Genomic DNA, 19,125 nt, shown 5'->3' on the forward strand with positions numbered 1-19,125 from the left:
TGTGCTCCCCACCGGGCAGTCTACTCCTACTCTAAATAATAAAAAGCACAAGAGCTATCACTTCTTAAGAACTCACTGGATGCAAAGTGCTTTACATTACCATATCCTATGAGGCCTTTAGAAACTTGCCCAAGGTTCACACTACACCGAGGGCAGAGCTGGACTCCAGAGCTCTTGCTCTTATGAGACCCTGACTAGCAGAACAGGTTCAGGGCTCAGAGCCCCTGGGTTCAAATCTTGGTTTTGCCCCTTGTTAGCTGTGGAACTTTGCGCAAATGATTTAACCTCTCAGTGCCTCCGTTTCATCATCTGTAAAATGGAAATAAAAAACAATGCCTCCTTCACAGGGTCACAGGAAGGATAAGGGAGATGAAAAAGACATAGAGTGTTTAGAATTGAGCCTCTCCTATAGTGAGTGCTCAATAAATCTGAAAGACTTTGCTGCTGTGGTTTCCACATTGCTATCATGCAACTCAGCCTGAGACAGCAGCCCTTCTCATGGGCTAATATTCCCTGGGAGTCTCCGAGAGCGGGATCTGAAGGAGCACCCTCCACCTCCTTTGGTGTTCCCCAGCGTACACTTAGAAAAAGTGTACTTTACATTAAAAACCAAAACCAAACCAAACCAACCAAAAGTCCTTCTGAACAACCAAATGGTTTCGATGCATTTCCCACCAAACATCTGAATACCAAGCAACGACAGCCAACCACACATGTCCAAGGGATCCAGGCACCACTTAAGAAACTGTCCTGAGTTTTCTGGCCAGGCAATGCCACAGATCCCCACACAGGCTACACCACAGGCTCAGGGCTCCTCAGAGCACTCCTGTCACTGTCCTCCTCTGCCCTTGGCCTTGGGCGAGATGCCCCGGGTCAGGCGGGCATCCTGGAGGAGACCTCCACCACCCCTGGCTGCCTCTCGGTGCCCGCATCATCAGAGTTGATGGAGGCATTCAGAAGGGCTTTGCAGGAGTTTACGGTGATCTCCCCTGAGCCTCTGCTATTTGATTTTTTTTCTTTTAATCTCTGATAGTCAGAAAGCAATTTATCTCAGAGCTTATCAGGGGCCCTTATTTTTTGATGCCTTTGAAGACTGTCAGAAGGACACAGATGGTGGTAAAGGGTACTGGGCGGGGGTGGTGGGGGGAACTCTTAGGACTCATTTACTTCTTTTTCAAAACCTCAGTTCCATACCAGAGATGAAAATTCAGACTGACACAGCAAACTTAAAAAGAGTGGTGGTTAAAAGAGCTCCCAGCAGAGATGGAGAGTCTGAGAGACCCATGCCTTAATGACGGTAGGAGAGCCCAGCTTTTGGAGTCTGTTTGCTCTGACGGAAATGGCCTTCAAAGCAATCAGGACCCTTTGAAAGAAGGGAGATGCTGCACGAAGCTGCAGCATGGCCTGGGGTGCAGGGTCAGCCCCAAGCCTGAGGCTCACAGCCCAGCTCTCTGCTCCGGGCAAACCTCATCTGGTCTATGCCTTAGCGGCAAGTGCTTTAAAAAACAAAGGTGGGGGTTTCTACTCAACCATTTCTCAGGAATAAAGGCCACAGTTATGGCATGTGCTTTCCTCCATGGACTCACTCATTCATTCCTCAACTGCTACAGGGCCCCTGTTATGTGTCAGGCGCTGCAATGAGGAAGAGGTGTGAGACTCTCAGGCGCTCGAATGCTCATCAAGAAAGAGATGTGTCAACACGTGGAACCCAACCATCAGTGAGGATGTCTGCAGAAAGTGCAGCAAAGCACAGGAAAAGTGATGCTGAAATTGCAACTGATTTGAACAAGTTAGAAGAGAGCCAGAAACGTGCTCGATTTGGGATTTCAACTCAAGGGTTTTCCTTTCCACTGGAAATAGTTCTGTTTTGCCATGTGATGCCCTTTCAATTTAGAATCTCAGTTTTTGCTGAAATGAAGCTGTTCTATACACAACTTGCTCTGGTAGCCTGAGGTTTCCTGGACAGTGGATAAAACACCTAAATGGAGCAACACAGAAACAAACTTGTTTTGTGATCAAGTAAGAAAAGACCATTTTCTTATAGCTCTTGGGAAGGGAAAACATTATGTGCAATCATTTTAATTAAATAACATTTCCTCTACTTTAAAAGTACACATACTGACCGGGTGTACCCATTTATTTCCAGAAGAGGATTGAAAGTAGCTTCGTCTACCTTCTCAGTGCTTTGTTGGCAATATATTATTTTAGCTTATCTCCAGAAAGTACATGTAAGATTTCTTTTGAATATGTGTACCTTGATAGCCAAAGAAAGACTATGCACTTCTCAATGACAAAGGTTAAGTATTCTAAACATTTGTTGAGAGACCATCAGACTCAATAGATGCACCACCGCCAATCACTATTACTATTCCTCTTCTTCATTCTCCTCCTCCTACTAAAAAGGAGGATTAGAAGGATGAATTACTCTGGACAGGCCCCTCCCTATATGCCGTGTCCCTTACGAACATCATCTCGCTAAATTCCCATGGAGGTGGGTCCTGTTGTCTTCATTTCCAGGGGATTTGTTAGGTTACGGAGCCACACCACTTCTAAGTCCCAGAGTCAGAAAGTAACATCAAACTTACCAACTCCCAAGCTCAGACTGTAACTGCTACAAGACCCTTAGCATCAGGTATCTTTGAGGTTTTCTGAGAAGCAACAAAGGCCAGAAATAAACGGAATAAACTGGCATATCATAAACATCTGCCAGATGCTGCACTTCCTGCTGCCTCACACTTTTGTGTCAGAAGGAACTTTAAATAACAGATTCTCAGATCCCACCTCAAATTATGGTGGAGGCAGGAGCCCAGGAATGTCATTCATAACAATTATCCCCATGAGACTCTGACTGAGGAGGTCATGAATTATGTGATTTAGGCCACTAAATATGTATTTAAGGAGACCCACAGGGGTCACCCATCTGACAGCAACACCCAGCACATTCATGCACACACACTGACAGATAAACATTTAAACGCTGAAACAAAGGTCTCTGAAAATAATACTTACCCTTGGTAGAGGTGAATAATGCTGACAAGTTCTATTTTATTTTATTCTGTTTCATTAATAAGATATCCTAGCTGTGAATCACTAAACTGATTTCACGACCTTCTAATGGATCTTTTTTTTTTGAGAGACAGAGAGAGAATGCTGACTTGGGTGTTCTGTACAGTACATATTTTCTAATGCAGTCCTCACAGCCCAAAGAGGCAGAGGAAAGTACTTTTTATCTCCGTTTTTATAGATGAGAAAACTGAGGCTCAAGGAGGCTAAGGATTTGCCCCAGATCACAGAGACAGATACGGGGCTGAACTCAGGCACATCAGAACCTAAAGCCTCCTCTCATCCTACTAAAATCGTCTCAAGTGCCCCCTTTATAAAGTTTGCACAATGCTGTTAAAAGTGGATTTGCTCCAGAAATGTCACTGACTAACTCTCTTGACTAGGTCCCCATATTTCCTCAATGCCAAGACATCTCTGACTGTAAGTTGACATTATTTAGTTACTAATTGGAAGAAGGAGGTAGTGGGAAGAAACTTTGTTAAAGGTACACATTCTTTCCAATCATTAGGTTTATCCTTGGCTAATAAATGGCTCTAAGAGTCACAGAAACAGGCACTCAGCCAGATTATCCTACAGTCCTGATGCAACTGGAAAGAACTTGGATATGGGCCCATTTGAAGGGCAGGTGGGAGAGATGGCTACTTTTAATCTCCTTTGTTTCTGCTCTTCATGGGAATCTGTGCTGAAAGCAGTAAACACTGAAACTAATGCAGAAGGCCAGGCAGCCAGAATTATAATACCTGCTTCCATCTCCAGGGTCACAGGTAAGGAAACCAAGCCCCACGCTGGTGCAAGGTCTCGCCCCAGGTCCCATGCCTTTCCTGATCAGAACAGCACCATTCTCCTGACCTAGCTAGACCCTGCCATGATCACAGTCCTAAGATCAACCACATGGACATCCATAAGGCACTTTCACATCACAAAGCACAATCACGCTATCCCACTGGAGCATTGCCACCATCCAGAGAAAGCAGGGAAGTATTTTTCACTCCACTTTCAGGTAAAGGGAAATAAAGACCAAGCAGTCTGCACAGTCCACAGACGTAGAGCCAGAACCCTGTCCTGTAACTTCAAATTCCCAGTTTTATCCATTTCATGGCAGCAATAATGGTACAAGTGTCAAAACAGTGACAATGACACAGCTAAATACTGGTGGGTGGTGAATAAAATAATTTTTCTTAGATGCTTCAGAATTTTTCTTAGATGCTTCATAATTTTTGAAAACCCTTTAAGGAAAGGTTAATACTTAACCTCCTAGAATTAACCTCCATGCTTTCTTAGGTGATTTCACAAAGAATTAGATTGAATCCTGTGGATTTAAAACACTCTGTAGTTGGGAGGTACTGTCTTGGTGAAATTACCACTAAAAAAATGCCATCAACTGATGAAATGCAGTGTATCCATGCAATGGAATATTATTCAGCTGTAAAAAGGAAACCATGGATGAATTAAGTGACAGAAATGAGTCACAAAAGACTGTATTGAATATACACATTTTATGATTTCTTTCATATGAAATGAAAGAAATTTCATATGAAAGAAAGAACAGGCAAATCCACAGATATAGAGAGTAGATTAGTGGCTGCCTAGGGCTCAGGGAGGGGAACGAGGGATGGCAGCTGATGGGTACCAGGTTCCTTTATGGGATGATGAAAAAGCTCTGAAATTAGCTGTGGTGATGATAATTGCACAACTCCGTGGATATACTAAAAAAAAAAAAAAATTTGATTTCACACTTTAATGAGCAAATTGTATGCTATGTAAAATATATCTTGATAAAGTAAAGCTGTTACCAAAAAAAATCCACGTTAACTGTCCTTGAAAATACGGAATTCTATTTAAAACACTTTGCAATAGCAACTTTATTATCAGATCAAAAGAGTCTTCATTAAGGGAAAGCAGATCTTTTTTTTTTTTGTACTGCGTCAACATTTTCTTGGTACCCTTGGCTTCATTACAAAAATAATTTGCAGGCTCAAAAGACAAATGTCTAAACTAAAAATCCTGGAGCCTGTTTTCATAAATCATGCTATCTTACTATGTTGGCAATATGGTCCACCTGCTTCATGGAAAATGTTCAGTAATTCAATAACCTGGAGTAAATACAAATAGCTTCCCCTTGGTTTGTGCTGTTGACTCTGCTGGGAATTTCCTCCTCACTCTCTTTCCTGGCCCAAATCTACTCATAACCTCAGAACCCCTTCCTCCAGACAGCCCTCAGAACCCTTCCTCCCAGGCCCTTTCCAGGAAAATTTTTTTTGGGCGGAGAGTACATTGTTGTATTGACGTCACTGTCCCTCTCACGTTGCCATTTTGCCATTACTGTTTATTGTTTAGCTCCCCCTTCACAAAACCAAGAGCACCCTGAAGGCAGGGACCAGATCCTACTTGAAAATCTCAATGCCCGACACGTAGAGGAGGGGGCCTCCAGCCAGCGCTGGCTGGCTTTGGAAGCAGCGGCAACACATTCACCTTTAAAAGCGTTTCTGCTGGAAGAACTGCAAATATCAGTAAGGGAAAAGATTGAAGTTAAACTTACAACTTCTAAGAAAACGTGAGAGCTAATGAGAAGCAGGCTAGCATATCTCTTTTGTAAGGTCAACTGAGTCACACCCCCTTATTCAGCACACTGCTCTTCTCCTGCAGTTAGTTGCACAGAAATTTTATTATCGTAGCATAAAGCACAACTGCCACTTAACAGCACAGAAAGAATCAGCACAATCCCTGCCCTCACGGCACAACATCTGCCTCAACCACATTCCTTCAGATGACGGACAAGTGTCCAAGAGACCTACCAAGAACCATGTGGTTGCTGTTAATGACCAACTACAACAAAATGGGCAACCCCAGGCAGTGGTGAGAATGTGGGCTTGAATTCTGTCTCTGTCCCTTACCAATGGCACAACCATGAGCAAGTTACCAAACGACTCTGTAATGCCAGGCCCCTAATCTGCCCAGTGGAGGAAATACTCCAACTCCTAGAAGTAATATGAGAATTAAGACTGCACAAGGAGCTGACCCACAGGATAAAGACAGCAGCTGTTCCTTCCCTTTCCCCCAACATGTATTTCCCCAGATGCCATCCTACATGTTCACATTGAAGAGATAAGCCTCTCAGAAGGAAGATAACCATAGAAAGTTGAAAAGAGAAACCTCTTTAGATGCTGGTTTATTAAGAAGAATGAAGGCAGATGTGACTGGGGCCAAAGATCTCAGTGCACATTCCTGACACTCCCCCACTGATCATGAGGCCCAAGGATGTGGCCAGGAGGCCGAGCATCAGCAGCTGGGGTAAGAAAATCACTGGGCTGAACCATGGGTCCCTCACAACAGGCAGGCAAGATTTGGGCATGGAAAAATACATACAGTCCCAGGTGGTAAAGCTCAATTACAACTTCCCTTTTCTTGTCATTTTTTCAGCCTATGTTTCAAAATCTCTAAATCCAGAGCAGCAAGTTCCAAAAGGAGAAGTAGAATCAATAATGATAATAGTCCATGACACACAGTGCTTGCTCCATGCCAGGCACTGTTCTAAGACATTTACATCTATTCTCTCACTTCATCCTCATCCAAGGATGGGTAAACTGAGGCAAATAGGTCACATGACTTTTCCCAAGGCTAAACACGTGGTAAATAGGGAGCCAGGGTGAAAACCCAGCAGTCTGCTTCCTAGTTTTTATTGCCATATTCAAAGGCTTCTCCCAAGAACTTGTTCTCATATTGGCTTCACTCCCTCCCGACTTCATATGAGTTTCCAGCAAAATCACTTTAATGAATTCTGCCACCTCACTTTTCCCGGCCATAATAGCGTACTGGAATCAGTATCTATGTAACAGCGGTTCCATGAAGAATTACAAACAACATGCCTTCACATGCTACTCAAAGAGAGAGAGACAGAAAGAAAAGGAAGGACAGAGAATGTGTAATGAGAAGTGCCAAATGACATGCGATAGCCGGTACACAGTCAATTACATGACAAGGACTGTGCCAAGTTCTTTAGAGTACTGTACATATGTGTGTGTGTGTGCGCGCGCATGCATATAAGTGTATGTGTGTAGGTGTGTATAAGCACGTGTATAAATACATGTATATACACATCTGTATATGTGTGTATATGCATATGTGTGTGGATGTATATAAAATAGATTTTTTAAAAATATGTATCTTATACAGAAGGCTATTTCATACAGGTCTCAGGGAAGACAAGTGACTTGCCCAAGGCCACAGGGCCTGTGAGAGTGTTGGAGACAGTGTTTGAATCCAGGTATCCAACCCCAAAGCCCATGCTCTGACCTACTCACCACACCCAAACACCTGACTTTACCCTTAGTGACAAACTGTTATGATTTTTATGCCAGGAAACCATGGTAGCACATCAAATGTCTGAAGCTTCACTTTTTGCTGTCTGTAGCATAAAAAGGCATTCAATTAAAACAGAACCACACCTGGGGCCAGATGTGCTTCCTTTATAACTTGAAGAAGTCTCAAATCACTCTCAGGTGTCAGCCTCTTGAGTTAGATTAGAATTTGCAAAAATAAGCATTCATTCATTGTGTTACAAGATCCTCCACCAAAGACCTAAAGAAATTTACCTTTGTGAATATTAACAGCATATTGAATTAACATTTCACTTTTTTAAAATAAACGTGCTTCAAAGACATTCTCTCCCAGAGACTAAAATAAATAACACAAAACTGTGACAACAGTGGTCATCAACATCTACTATGCTCTTACTCTGAACCAAATACTGTTCTCATCACTGTACAGCATTATCTAATTCAACCTCTCAACCACGTTCAGTAGGAGCTATTACTGTTATCTCTGCTATTAATTATTCTTTAAAATGTCATTTGAGAAATTCTGACTTTACTTCTACTCTATAGATATCTCTTCTGTAGACTTTATCTGATGCTAAAAAAATTTGCACAGGAAACAATTTATTCCATCTAATCTCTTTTTTCAACGTATTAGAGACTCTTGCTGTGAAAGGAACCTGGGAAGCCTCTGCCACGTGCACAGCTGTGTAAGGAGAAGGATCTCTCTATGTTTTCAGGGCTGACCTGCAGCAGAGACACCTACATATAAGCATAAACTTGAGAAAGCAATGAGCACCCAGGGGAGACGGGGCTGCCGCTTGGGCTTGCTACTTACCAGTGCTGTGTGAACTTTAAGATGTGCCTGTAGCTTATATTTATCTGGAGTTGAGTAGTCACAGCCATCGGTGGGACACTTCAGCAAGATGTTACTGTGTTTCTGAATTACGTGGCGTTTAAGGCAGTTTTTGGTGATGGAAGAATAATGACACTGAGAGCAATAATACAGATGTTCCCGGGTGTGGGTGCGGACATGCATATCAAAATGCACTTGGTACCAAAAAAGTTTGCCTAAAAAAATATTTTCACATGAGAACAAGGAAGTTTCATTTTGACTGATTTTGAATTTTTTAAATTATTATTATTTTTTATCTACAATATCTATCTCCCTCTTGCGCTTGTCCGGGTCACCCTTCATACTTTTCACCACATTTCTGTCTGAAAATTACTCTTCAAAGGTGGGAGGTTGCAAATATTAAGGGTGCTACTATTTTTTGCATGATGTTAGGGCCCAGAGAGGAGGAAGCCAGTGTTTACTGAGAACCAGTTATGGCTCCAAATACCATGATGCACATGCATAAATCTACAAATCTCTAAGTTCTACCGGCCCTCCTGGGACAGCAGGTCTGGAGCTGGATTTTCTATATCCTGACCACCAGCTCCCCAGGAGTTCCAGGAGCCATGCTTTCATTGTGAGTTGCAGGGTGCTATTTGGGACCTCCCTACAGAGAGCTGCAGCCACTTTCATAACCTCTCTTGGCTGATATAGTAGTTGGCCACAATTTAAAGCTCAACTTTAAACTTGTCATGTGCCAGAAGAAAGATTCTTCTTGGTTAGAGTTCTGGTAGAGGTCATGGGTAACCCTCAGCACACACACCTGACCAGGCCAACACAGTCAACTGTGCAGCCATCCCGGCCACCTCCACAAGACTCCAAGCGCTAACGGCCACACAGGGTCACCGTTCCTATCTACAATGGAGGAGGATGGCTCACTTAGAAGGTATTCTTTGCAAACAGACATGAGCTCAAATCAAATGCGAGGTGACCACAGCATGATGGTTGTGGACAGGGCCACGCACCGGCGCTGCCTTTCCTTACCACAGTATTCACACTCCAGGTCTCCATAAACCTTCCGGATCCGCTCACACAAGCTGGTGTTCATTTGCTTCTTCTGTAAACTGTTCAGGACCTTCATGAAAGCGGTGATGCCTGACCGGTGCTCAGGGGCAGCTTTGCAAGAGTCAGGCTGATGTGTGATGGTGTCCCCACCACCAGCTACTGGAGGGAGGAGGTCTGAGGCCTCAGCTGGGTTTGACCTGAGACACCTGCTGGGATCTGGGTCACCAGCTGAAAGCACAGCCATGTTCTGCCCTTCCCCTAGGGGGCTCTGGGCGCCATGGCTTTCCTGATCTGACCCAGCACTCTGGGCCTTGGACAGCAGTAGTGTGATCACTTCACCTTGCGTCTGGACTGAGCTTCTGTGCTGCATGTCTGGGGGCTTCTCAGGAGCAGCATGAGCCTCTGCGGAGGAGGTATCATTTTTCAACAAAAAATCATCTGAAACCACCTCTTGAGAATGCAGGTCTGAGGAGGAGACCACGGTGGTTTCCAGCTCACAGGGTGGCAGGGCTGTGCTTTCGGCCTGCGGGGAGGCCAGGTGCACAGCTGGGGCAGGCATTTCCCCAGGGGCCTCCGGCTCCTTCCGGCCCTCCTCCAGCTGAGTGTCCCCAGGACAGGCCTCTTCCTTGAGTGCATTCACGCCCTGGAGGGCAAACTCCTCTTCCACCAGCTGTAGCTGGTCCCCCAGAGCTTCTTGCTGGATGTCCCCACCAGGTTCCAGGAGGCAGAAGCTCTGGTTGATGGAACTGGTGAAGACCAAGGCCTCCTGGGCAGCCCCGTGCACCTCTTTGATGTGGGTGCGCAGCCTGATGGAGCTGACGAACTTCTTGCGGCAGACGGCACAGACGTACACGAAGGGGTGCTTCCTGACATGCAGTTCCAGCGCCTGGTACTTGGTGGCCCCATGGCCACAGAGCTCACAGGCAAAAGGCCACTTGTCTCCGTGGACCAGCATATGGCGGTCACGGTCCAGCTCGTTCTTGAACTTGCGCTCACAGATGTGGCAGTCATAGAGCAGCTGCCGCTTGCCCTCCCTCGTCATCAGGCAGAGCTCGTCCAAGGCCTCTTTGACCTTCTTGTCCTGTGGGTCATGCGCGTCTCGGATGTGCTTGATGAGGTTCTTGACGTCAGAGTACTTCTTCTTGCAGAAGCGGCAGTGCTGCTTGATCTTCTTGTGCACTCGCTCGATGTGCACCTTGAGGTGGCCCTTGCTCAGGCAGGTGAACGAGCAATAGTCGCAGGCGAACTTCTCTCCAGTGTGCTTGCGCAGGTGCACATTGAGGTTGGCCTTGATGGCACTGGCATAGCTGCACTGGGGGCACTTGTATGGCTTTTCATTGGTGTGGATCCTCAGGTGGGCCTGCAGCGAGTGCTTGAACTTGAAGACCTTGTTGCAGTATTCACAAGTGAAGATTTTGAGCTGAGTGGGACCTAGCCTAGAAACAGATGACAGCATGGTTACATCTGGAGACCTTGAATGTTCCTCATGAACTCTACATCCTTTTCATGAACCAAACACTAAAGGCTGAAAAGTGAACAAAACTGGACAGACGCTGGATGGGTGCAGTCACTCACTCAACAAACAGGATCAGAGGGCTCGTGTGTGCCATGGTCCTTCAGGAGCTCACAGTCTTGGGGGAGGGAGGACAGGTTGGCAAATATTTGCATGACAGCGTGGTATGTATTGATAGGAATATGCACACCACAAAAAAGGAAAGAGACCTCTAACCTGGATTAGGATAGCTGAGAAAACTTGAGGAAGAGATGTCTGTCTGGACTGGGCTTCAAGAAAAGGAAAGAGGGAGGCAAGAGAAGGAAGAAGGAAGAGGAAGGACAGGTGTGCCATCCACAACTCGCACAATAATAATGAGCTGTGTTCCAAGCTGATCTAGGTGGATTCTGTGATATTTTAACAGGACTAGTCTTAATGGAATGAATTCAGTCTGCTGCATAAGACTGGATGCAACCATCTTTTCAATAGCTTGGTTAAGCCAGACTTCCTATTCATTCAACCAACTGTTGGGGGTGACTCTTTTCCTTTCTGCAAGTTTCCATGTGAGGGCCAACCACTAGGGAATGACCCCTGGCCTTTCTTCACATCCTTACTTCTTCCCAAGAAAAGAGAACCAATGTGTTTGATTGGTGACTTCAGAGCAGGACCTAAGTCACGAGCTGAGCTCTGCCTATTTCTGTTGAGGATGTGCCTGCCTGGGGTGAGCATGGGATACAGCGGGCACTTAGCCAACTGGGCCTCTGTGAGCCTGGCTGGAGCAATCCAGGACTGCGGGTGGGAGAGAAAGTCTGTCTCACTCTGCAGGCAGTAACAGGAGGCTACTGCTGACTTGTACCACACTGTTCTCCTCCACAGCTCTGTCAGTAATAGAGCTGGCATGTGGCTCTCCATCTTCCTCCTCCTCTATCATGGTTGGTTTAGAACACAGATGGGGAAAATAGGGTTGCTGTTTATTAACTTTGTATTCCATTTATTCATAAATGGCCACCATTTGTTAACACCTGCCAATGTGTTTCAGACACCACGTTAGATTTTACGTATGTGGTGAAGAACAAAAGCATGGTCTGCCTGCCTCATGAATTCTGTCTCTTTCACTAATGTGTGTGCTGAATGAGATGGTAATAATAACAGCTAATAATTATTGAGTATGTGTAGTATGATAAGCTCTATGCTAAGTATTTAATCCCAACTGTATTGTTATACTCATTTTACAGATGAGAAAACTGAGTATTTGCCCCATGTTGTACAGTTAGTAAGTGGTGAAGTCAGGACTTGAATCTAGGAAGACTCTCTGACTCTAGAGCCTACACGTGCATGCTTATCCTCTCTACCACCTGAAATCACTGACACGCAGCGACCCTGCCCCAGAGTGACTGTACTGCAAAGAAGTCTCCCTGTGTGGGGTTTCCATTGCTGTTGGAATGGCCAAGCCTTGTTTCTGAAACCAGCAAATGACAGTCACCAAAGTACCACAATAGGCACCAGGGACAGGCACTGACAGATGAGTCTAAGGAGGCAAATGAGGCTTCTTCTCCAGCCGTAACTGCTTTCTCTGGACAATGTGTCCAGGTTATCCAAAAAGGACCTCAAACATACTAATAATCAGGTTGTGCTATTAACCAGATACCATTCAACTGTACCCACTCTCACTGTAAAGTCTATAGTTATAAAACTATCCACAACACAGGTGGCCTTGTCTTTAAATTTAAAATATTTAAATGGATTGCAGTCCATAAATACCAGAGGGTACAATCCACATGATGTAATTACAATATTTAAATTTGGAAGTTACTAGTATGCCTGCATGCTAAGCCCAAGGCTAATTTAAGGAAAGTAATTTGGATCTTTCTCAAATGACAAAGATATCCAGAAGGTGATACATATTATTGGCACAAAGAATGCCAAAGAAAGAAACCCTGGATTCATAACATTAATTAAATAAATAAATCAAGACTTTGCATATTTTCTCCTCTACTGCAAGATCTAAATGGTCTTAGGAGAATCTTTTGCTCTGACTTTTTGTATTATTAGGCAAATACCTGGTAAAGCCCTTAGTGCCCAGGTTCCCCTCGAGGATAGTGAGTCTGATGAGGATGCTACACAGCCTCCATCTGACCCTTAAGTCCAAGTCATTGACTGTGACAGTGAACTGATGCCAGAGCTTCGATGTCCATGCGAGTTCTATGAAGTCACTTTATTCCAAATGCTGCCTCCTCAGAGAGGTACTCTCACCACTGCTTTTACAAAGGAATCCGGCCAGGCGCAGTGGCTCACGCCTGTAATCCCAGCACTTTGGGAGGCTGAGGAGGGCGGATCACAAGGTCAGGAGATCGAGACCATCCTGGCTAACACGGTGAAACCCCGTCTCTACTAAAAATACAAAAAATTAGCTGGGTGTGGTGGTGGGCGCCTGCAGTCCCAGCTACTCGGGAGGCTGAGGCGGGAGAATGGCGTGAACCCAGGGGGTGGAGCTTGCAGTGAGCCCAGATCGCGCCACTGCACTCCAGCCCGGGAGACAGAGCCACAGAGCCAGACCCCATCTCAAAAAAAAAAAAAAAAGAAAGAAATCCAGCAGAACTTTAAGAGGTCCTACTCCTTAATCCAGTTATTCCACTTATGGGAATTTATCCAAAAGAAAGAATACAAAATTCAGATGATGGTGCTCATGGCTCATTTTCCACAATAGTTAAGAATGGGAAGCTGTTCGAAGGTACCAACATAGGGAACTAGTTTGTTTGCACGTTTATCTTTCTTCACTTATTCATTCCCTTAAAAAAGTGTTCCAGGTACTCAGGATACAAAAGGGAATGAAAACAAGCACAGCCCTGCCCTCTGGAGCTCACCTTCCAGAAAGTGCCATAGGCCAGCCTACGTACTAAATATAAAAGTAAGCAGACAAGGACCATCAGGCTCCCTGTGAGAAGGATAACGGCCGGACACTCTGAGAGTCCAGTCAGGGTAGATTGACTTGGTCTAGGGACAGGGAAGGCCTCCCTGAGGACAAGACATTTGAGCAGAAAGCTGAAGGACAGATAAGCATTAACTAAGCAAGAGGGAGGAAAGGCATCCAGGAAAAGGAAGCGGTGCCTGCAATAAGAGACTAAGGAAGTGAAAAGAGGCCCAGATGGCTGGAACAGATGGCAGCAGCAAGAGTACTGGGGAACCACAGCAGGTGGACAAGCCTCAGAGGTGGCAGGGCTAGTCTTGGAAGCCCCCTGCACCCCTAAGAGCAAGACAAAGCCTAAAAGGGTAACAATCAGATGAGCATTTTTAAAAGATCTTGTTGGCTCCAATGTCAAGAGTTGAGTTGATAACACTATATCCTCATGAAGTTATGCCTTGTTGCTATAAAGCAAAATGTTTGTGATTCATTTGAGTACAAAGGCATATAAATGTAATGTGATTAAGTTTTAAAAAGTGACAGCCGGGCACAGTGGCTCACGCCTGTAATTCCAGCATTTTGGGAGGCCAAGGCTGGTGGATAACTTGAGGTCAAGAGTTCAAGAACAGCCTGGCCAACATAGTGAAACCCCAACTCTACTGAAAATCCAAAAAAAAAGCTGGCCGTGGTGGTGCACACCTGTATTCCCAGCTACTCAGGAGGCTGAGGCAAGAGAATAGGCAAGAGAATAGCTTGAACCTGGGAGGCAGAGGCTGCAGTGAGCCAAGATTGTGCCACTGCACTCCAGCCTGGGTAACAGAGTGAGACTCTGTCTCAGAAAAAAAAAAAAAAAAAAAGTTTTAAAAAGTGAGATACAAAATCGCTATAAAATATAAACTCAATTTTATAAAATACACATGCTGAAAAAAAGGCTGGGAGAAAACACATTTAAAATAATAAGTGGTTATCTTTGGGCAATAAGATCATAAATGACTTTTTTTCCCTCAGTTTTCTGGACTTCCAAAATTTTTTATATAATAACTCTGTATCATTTGTTATGAGAGAAGAATTATATAACCTAAAAGTTTTTATCTGTATTTTACAAAGTAAAATCCTTACGCAAAAACATCTCTTTTATAGTTATCTTATAATTTGCACAATAAAATATTAATAGAATGCATGACAACAAAAATATAGCCTAGATCTGTTGATTAAATATTCAGTGTATTTACCTGTAACTAGATTAACATTTAGCTGAACCTCCCCGCCAACAGACCTTGAAATATTGTGAAGATAATTAATTAAGGTCTACAAATCAACCTGACTTGAAACACAGAATGATTTTAGAGACTTAATTCTATTATGAATTCACCAAAGGAATGAGTATTTTTACAACTTCATCAATAAATTCAATTGTTCACATTTACAAGAATAGAGGATTGAAGCTACAAATTAATGAAGCATACCACATGATATAATAATATAATTTAATGAGAGCACTACATGTGCCAGGCACTTTGCATATTTTATCTCTTATTCTCACTACTAAACTAAAATTCTATTAGACAGTCTTAAAATTGTGCAACAAATGTTAGATGCAAAGTAACGTGTGTCAAGTTACAATGGAGTGTAAGCTTCATCAGGGCAGGGGCTGCAACTGTCTGATTCTTTGTCATATCACCAGTGCCCAGCACATAAGAGGTGTTCAATTTGTTGAGCTGAACTCATACAGAGTAGTCTAGAGCCAACCTAGGTCTATTTCATTCTGAAGCTTATGTTCTACTCAAAAACACCCCATTTCTCTTCTTCCAGAAACAGAGGAAAACCACTGGCAACTGGCATTTTCTTTGTCTTTCCTTCTAGCTGGGAGAAATGTTTTCAGACCTCTGGGGATCAGAGTTTGTTAACTGACTTCAGCAGGTACAGGCTAAAGACAGACAATTTGGGGAGACTGTAGAGAAACACACTGGTTTGCTATGGGTGGTCAACTGATCCAGTGTATCTGGAGGACAGTTTTTAATGTCAGTTAAGCACTAGGCACTCATATCCTTTGCTGTAGCAATTTCAACTCTAGCAATGGATTCCACAGGAGGTCTTGAAGTATGGAAAGATGTATACACCAAAACATTAATCACTGCATTGTCCGTAATAGTAAAAACTGGCTATATAAACTAAAATACATCCACATAATAGCAAACACAGCTTTTTAAACTGTGTACTAAAAATGAAAGACTTTCAAGGTGTAGTAAGCTTTTAAAAAAAAGTTGAAAACAGTACTTTTGGTATTTAGTATTTGCAAAAAACAACAAAATTAAACCAATATATGTTAGTATATTTCAAAAAACTTGTAGAAGCACATGAACTAAACTACCTCCAGAAACAGTAACTCTAGGTTACTTTAATGCCACATCATATGGGACATGTGAGCCTTCTGCAACACACTTGTGTTACTTTTGAAAGTGGGAAGGAAATAAATATTTTTCTAAACGGTAGTAAGTGAAGCTATAAATGTCTAAAACTTTACTTAAGCTATGTTTCTATTTCTTTTTATTAAGGTAAAAAATAGTTTTTCTTTAAATAAAATGCTCTGGCTTCATTAAGCCAGTTGGTGCTCAGTTCTAAAAACATGCTACTCTGCAACACACTGGAGGCTCAGCGAGCACACCGAGGGCTGCCATGGAGGGGTAATTCTACTGCTGAATCAAGGAGTCAGTATCTCTTATAAACAAGTTTATAAGCAGAATCCAAACGAACAAGCATGCTGATCCTTCCTGCACTCTGTGGAGTTCACTCACATGCAACCTCTGGCTGAAGTTACACAGAACAAAACACTTTACCTGCTTGACTTCATTGGTTGCTCATAAGGTGTCTGCTGAATGGCGTATTCCTGGTAGCCTCTCCGAGGCACCAGGTCTGCTGAAGTGGTCTCAGAATTTGTAGCTCCTGTTTCAGGGGGCCCAGCCTCCACTGGCACAATCTTGGTAGCACCTGAGATTGATGCAAAAGGCATTGCTTATTGAGAGGCATCGAAAGTGGGCACTGACCCCATCGCAGCAGAGGGGATGGTGCTGGGAAGTCTATTTCTATACTGTCTGATACCCACGCAAGATAGTTTTCACTCAGCTCGCACATTTACATTTTTTGGGTGAGTGTGTGTGAGTGTGTGCATGTGTTTGAGAAAGGACAAGTTTTTCAATAATCTGTCTAAATGTCCTCTTGAGATATATTTTCACTTGATCTACTTATATTAAAAAGTACACATATACACACACACACATATACATATATATGTATATACATATACATATATATGTTACTTGCAAGGTTTTATATAGGATCACCCGTGTCAAACTGCATTAAAGAAAAAGATCCAATTTACCCCTTGTTTCTGGAATTGCAAAGGAATTATTTATACTTTTCACCCTTGCTTAAAGAAATATCAAAATACTACCACTAATTTTTAGAAAAATCATAGAAACTTTCTCTAGCAACAATTGAAAATAGGAAATTCTCTTCTGGGCTTCTTATTTTCCAGAATAATACTATTCTGAAGTGAGTAGGGCAGACAAAGTGACTTTCCAGAAAGTTCTTCTAGCCACACAATTTTATATGGTCTGTTCTCTACCGATCACCTTGGTCTGCAGTGACGTACAGAAGGAGAATTTATTCAGATTTTTCATTTTAAATAATGAGTTACTCTTAGCATTGAAAATAGGTACTTAAAAGGCTGTAGCTGTCCTTAAAATCCTAAACTTAATTTTTAAATTTTATTTGACAGCAATCACCTCAAGCGCATAGAGAAAAAATATTATACTTTGAAACACTATTATAAACTGCTTTTTAAATTAAGGGTCCTATCCTAGAGATCTTTTTTAAAAATATAGTGTCACATATCCACCAGCTATTTCATGTAAAAGAATACAGAGATGGAAATTTCTAGTATTATATTTGGTGAACCCTTCTAAAAATACAAAAAAAGATCAGAGGCACCCCAGGATACCACCTTAGGACATTTCCCACTGTCTTGATCTTAAAAGAAAAGAAAAATGAGAATAGAACTCTAACCTTTGAGAGATGGAAACAGTGGGTATCTATGTCAGTTTACATCTTTTCTATGTGCAGAGAGGAAAAAAATACAAAACAGATGGTGGGCAGAGTTAGCATGGGTTTTGGAGCAGCAGCCTGCATGCGTCTGGCTGAATGGGCTGGCCTCACATGCAGGACAGCATGGCTGAGAGCAGGAGGGGAAGGCACACACCCAGGAGAAGAGCTGGGTGAGGGGACGAAGAAAACTAACTGCTCCCGGAACCACTACTCCAGCAGGAGCAGCACGGCGGAGCTGTGGGACTACAGCAAGAGCAGCGGCCCTCACAGCAGCCCTCACAGCTTCTCCTCCATCCATTAACCACAACACCTGGGCAGTAAGTAAGTCTCATCCTCTCAAATTAGTGGGTGATTAAATGGAGAGCCCCACCAATGCACCAGCTCTGTGTTCTGACTCAGACTGTGACATCAGGCTGCCCTTGGCACAGACTTGCCAAGGGTCTTGCCTTTTCCTTTCCCGCTTGGTGCAGTCACCTGGAATTGCTTCGTGTGCAGTTAAAACCACACTTATGATGGGTTTCTTCGCCCCAGAAAGCTGTCTGGCCTCCTTTCCTGAGATCTTCTGGACTTTCTCTGTTTTCTGTGACCGTGGTCTTTTCGAGGCTTTTTCCCGATCATCTTCCTTACACTTCTTTTCTAGTTCAAGGTCAGACTCGTTACCTAAGGAGCAAATACCAAGATGCATAAGGTATCCTTTTATATCAGTGGCAGAGTTGGAGGGTAAACACTACTCTTTCACGGGACAGTAAAGGAAACACAGCTCTTTGGTCTGCAGTGCCACGCAGACCACGGAATCACTGTAGGTACCACGGTGGCTCTTCACTGCTTCACTCGATTCAGTACATGTTCACTGCTCCCCGCCACAGGCCATCACCTAGGCCCTGGGCGTACACTGTTGGGTGAAGCAGACATAGTTTCTTGTCTTGTCTTGTCTTCATGAGGCCTAGCAGACTTCAGAATCATTAATAAACAACACTGCACAGAAGATAAGGTCTCCAAGATTTATATTCTAAGAAATAAATCATTCACTTATTCAACTTACACTTATCAGCTACTGTCTGGTGCCAGGCATGGTGGACAAAAGGAGTGATAAGGTACAGACCCTGCTCTTGAGGGCCCCACCGTGCAGGGGGAGAGGCAGACATGCAAACAGCACAGGCAGTCCAGGGCAGTCTGCTGCACACCGAATGAAATGAGCAAGGGTCTGAGATGGTTACAGGAAAGGATGGTAGATTCTCCACTTCGTGGGGAGGTAAACCCTTGGTTCACATAAAAAGCAAGCATGTGCGAAGCAATGGTCAGGAAATACAGGCAAGGGGTATAGGGCAAAGGAGGAGTGGGTGTGGTGGAA

At 43.6% G+C, this 19,125-nt stretch overlaps 1 protein-coding gene and 1 non-coding gene across 15 annotated transcripts in view, besides 2 other annotated features; one reads left to right on the forward strand and one right to left on the reverse strand.

Moving 5' to 3' along the window:
• The window catches only part of ZFAT (zinc finger and AT-hook domain containing), a 354,552-nt gene that overhangs the window by 114,434 nt on the left and 220,993 nt on the right, over positions 1-19,125 (reverse strand). For 12 of the 14 annotated variants that reach the window (NR_110323.2, XR_007060749.1, XM_047422062.1 and 9 more), the window contains 4 exons: positions 18,249-18,434; positions 16,508-16,658; positions 9,256-10,712; positions 8,215-8,447 (listed from right to left, as the gene is read on the reverse strand). Coding sequence is in view for 11 of the 14 variants with exons in the window: in XM_047422062.1 (XP_047278018.1) it covers positions 8,215-8,447; positions 9,256-10,712; positions 16,508-16,658; positions 18,249-18,434 (2,027 nt within the window). In the remaining 3 variants the exon portion in view is untranslated. Of the gene's footprint in view, positions 1-7,508; positions 7,642-8,214; positions 8,448-9,255; positions 10,713-16,507; positions 16,659-18,248; positions 18,435-19,125 lie in introns of all 14 variants that reach the window. The other 2 variants (XR_007060750.1, NM_001174157.2) reach the window with 2 other exon arrangements.
• ZFAT-AS1 (ZFAT antisense RNA 1) lies at positions 5,850-8,468 on the forward strand. The gene is made up of 2 exons (NR_002438.1): positions 5,850-6,354; positions 8,035-8,468.
• Positions 9,541-9,800: an enhancer, noted in NCBI's record as "active region_28014". NCBI's record gives its function as "activates an Ori minimal core promoter by ATAC-STARR-seq in GM12878 lymphoblastoid cells {active_cell/tissue: GM12878}" and the evidence as "EXISTENCE:reporter gene assay evidence [ECO:0000049][PMID:35858748]".
• Positions 9,981-10,130: an enhancer, noted in NCBI's record as "active region_28015". NCBI's record gives its function as "activates an Ori minimal core promoter by ATAC-STARR-seq in GM12878 lymphoblastoid cells {active_cell/tissue: GM12878}" and the evidence as "EXISTENCE:reporter gene assay evidence [ECO:0000049][PMID:35858748]".

The sequence above is a fragment of the Homo sapiens genome, chromosome 8 (assembly GCF_000001405.40).
Source record: "Homo sapiens chromosome 8, GRCh38.p14 Primary Assembly".
In the NCBI taxonomy this organism is placed as follows: Eukaryota; Metazoa; Chordata; class Mammalia; order Primates; family Hominidae; genus Homo; species Homo sapiens.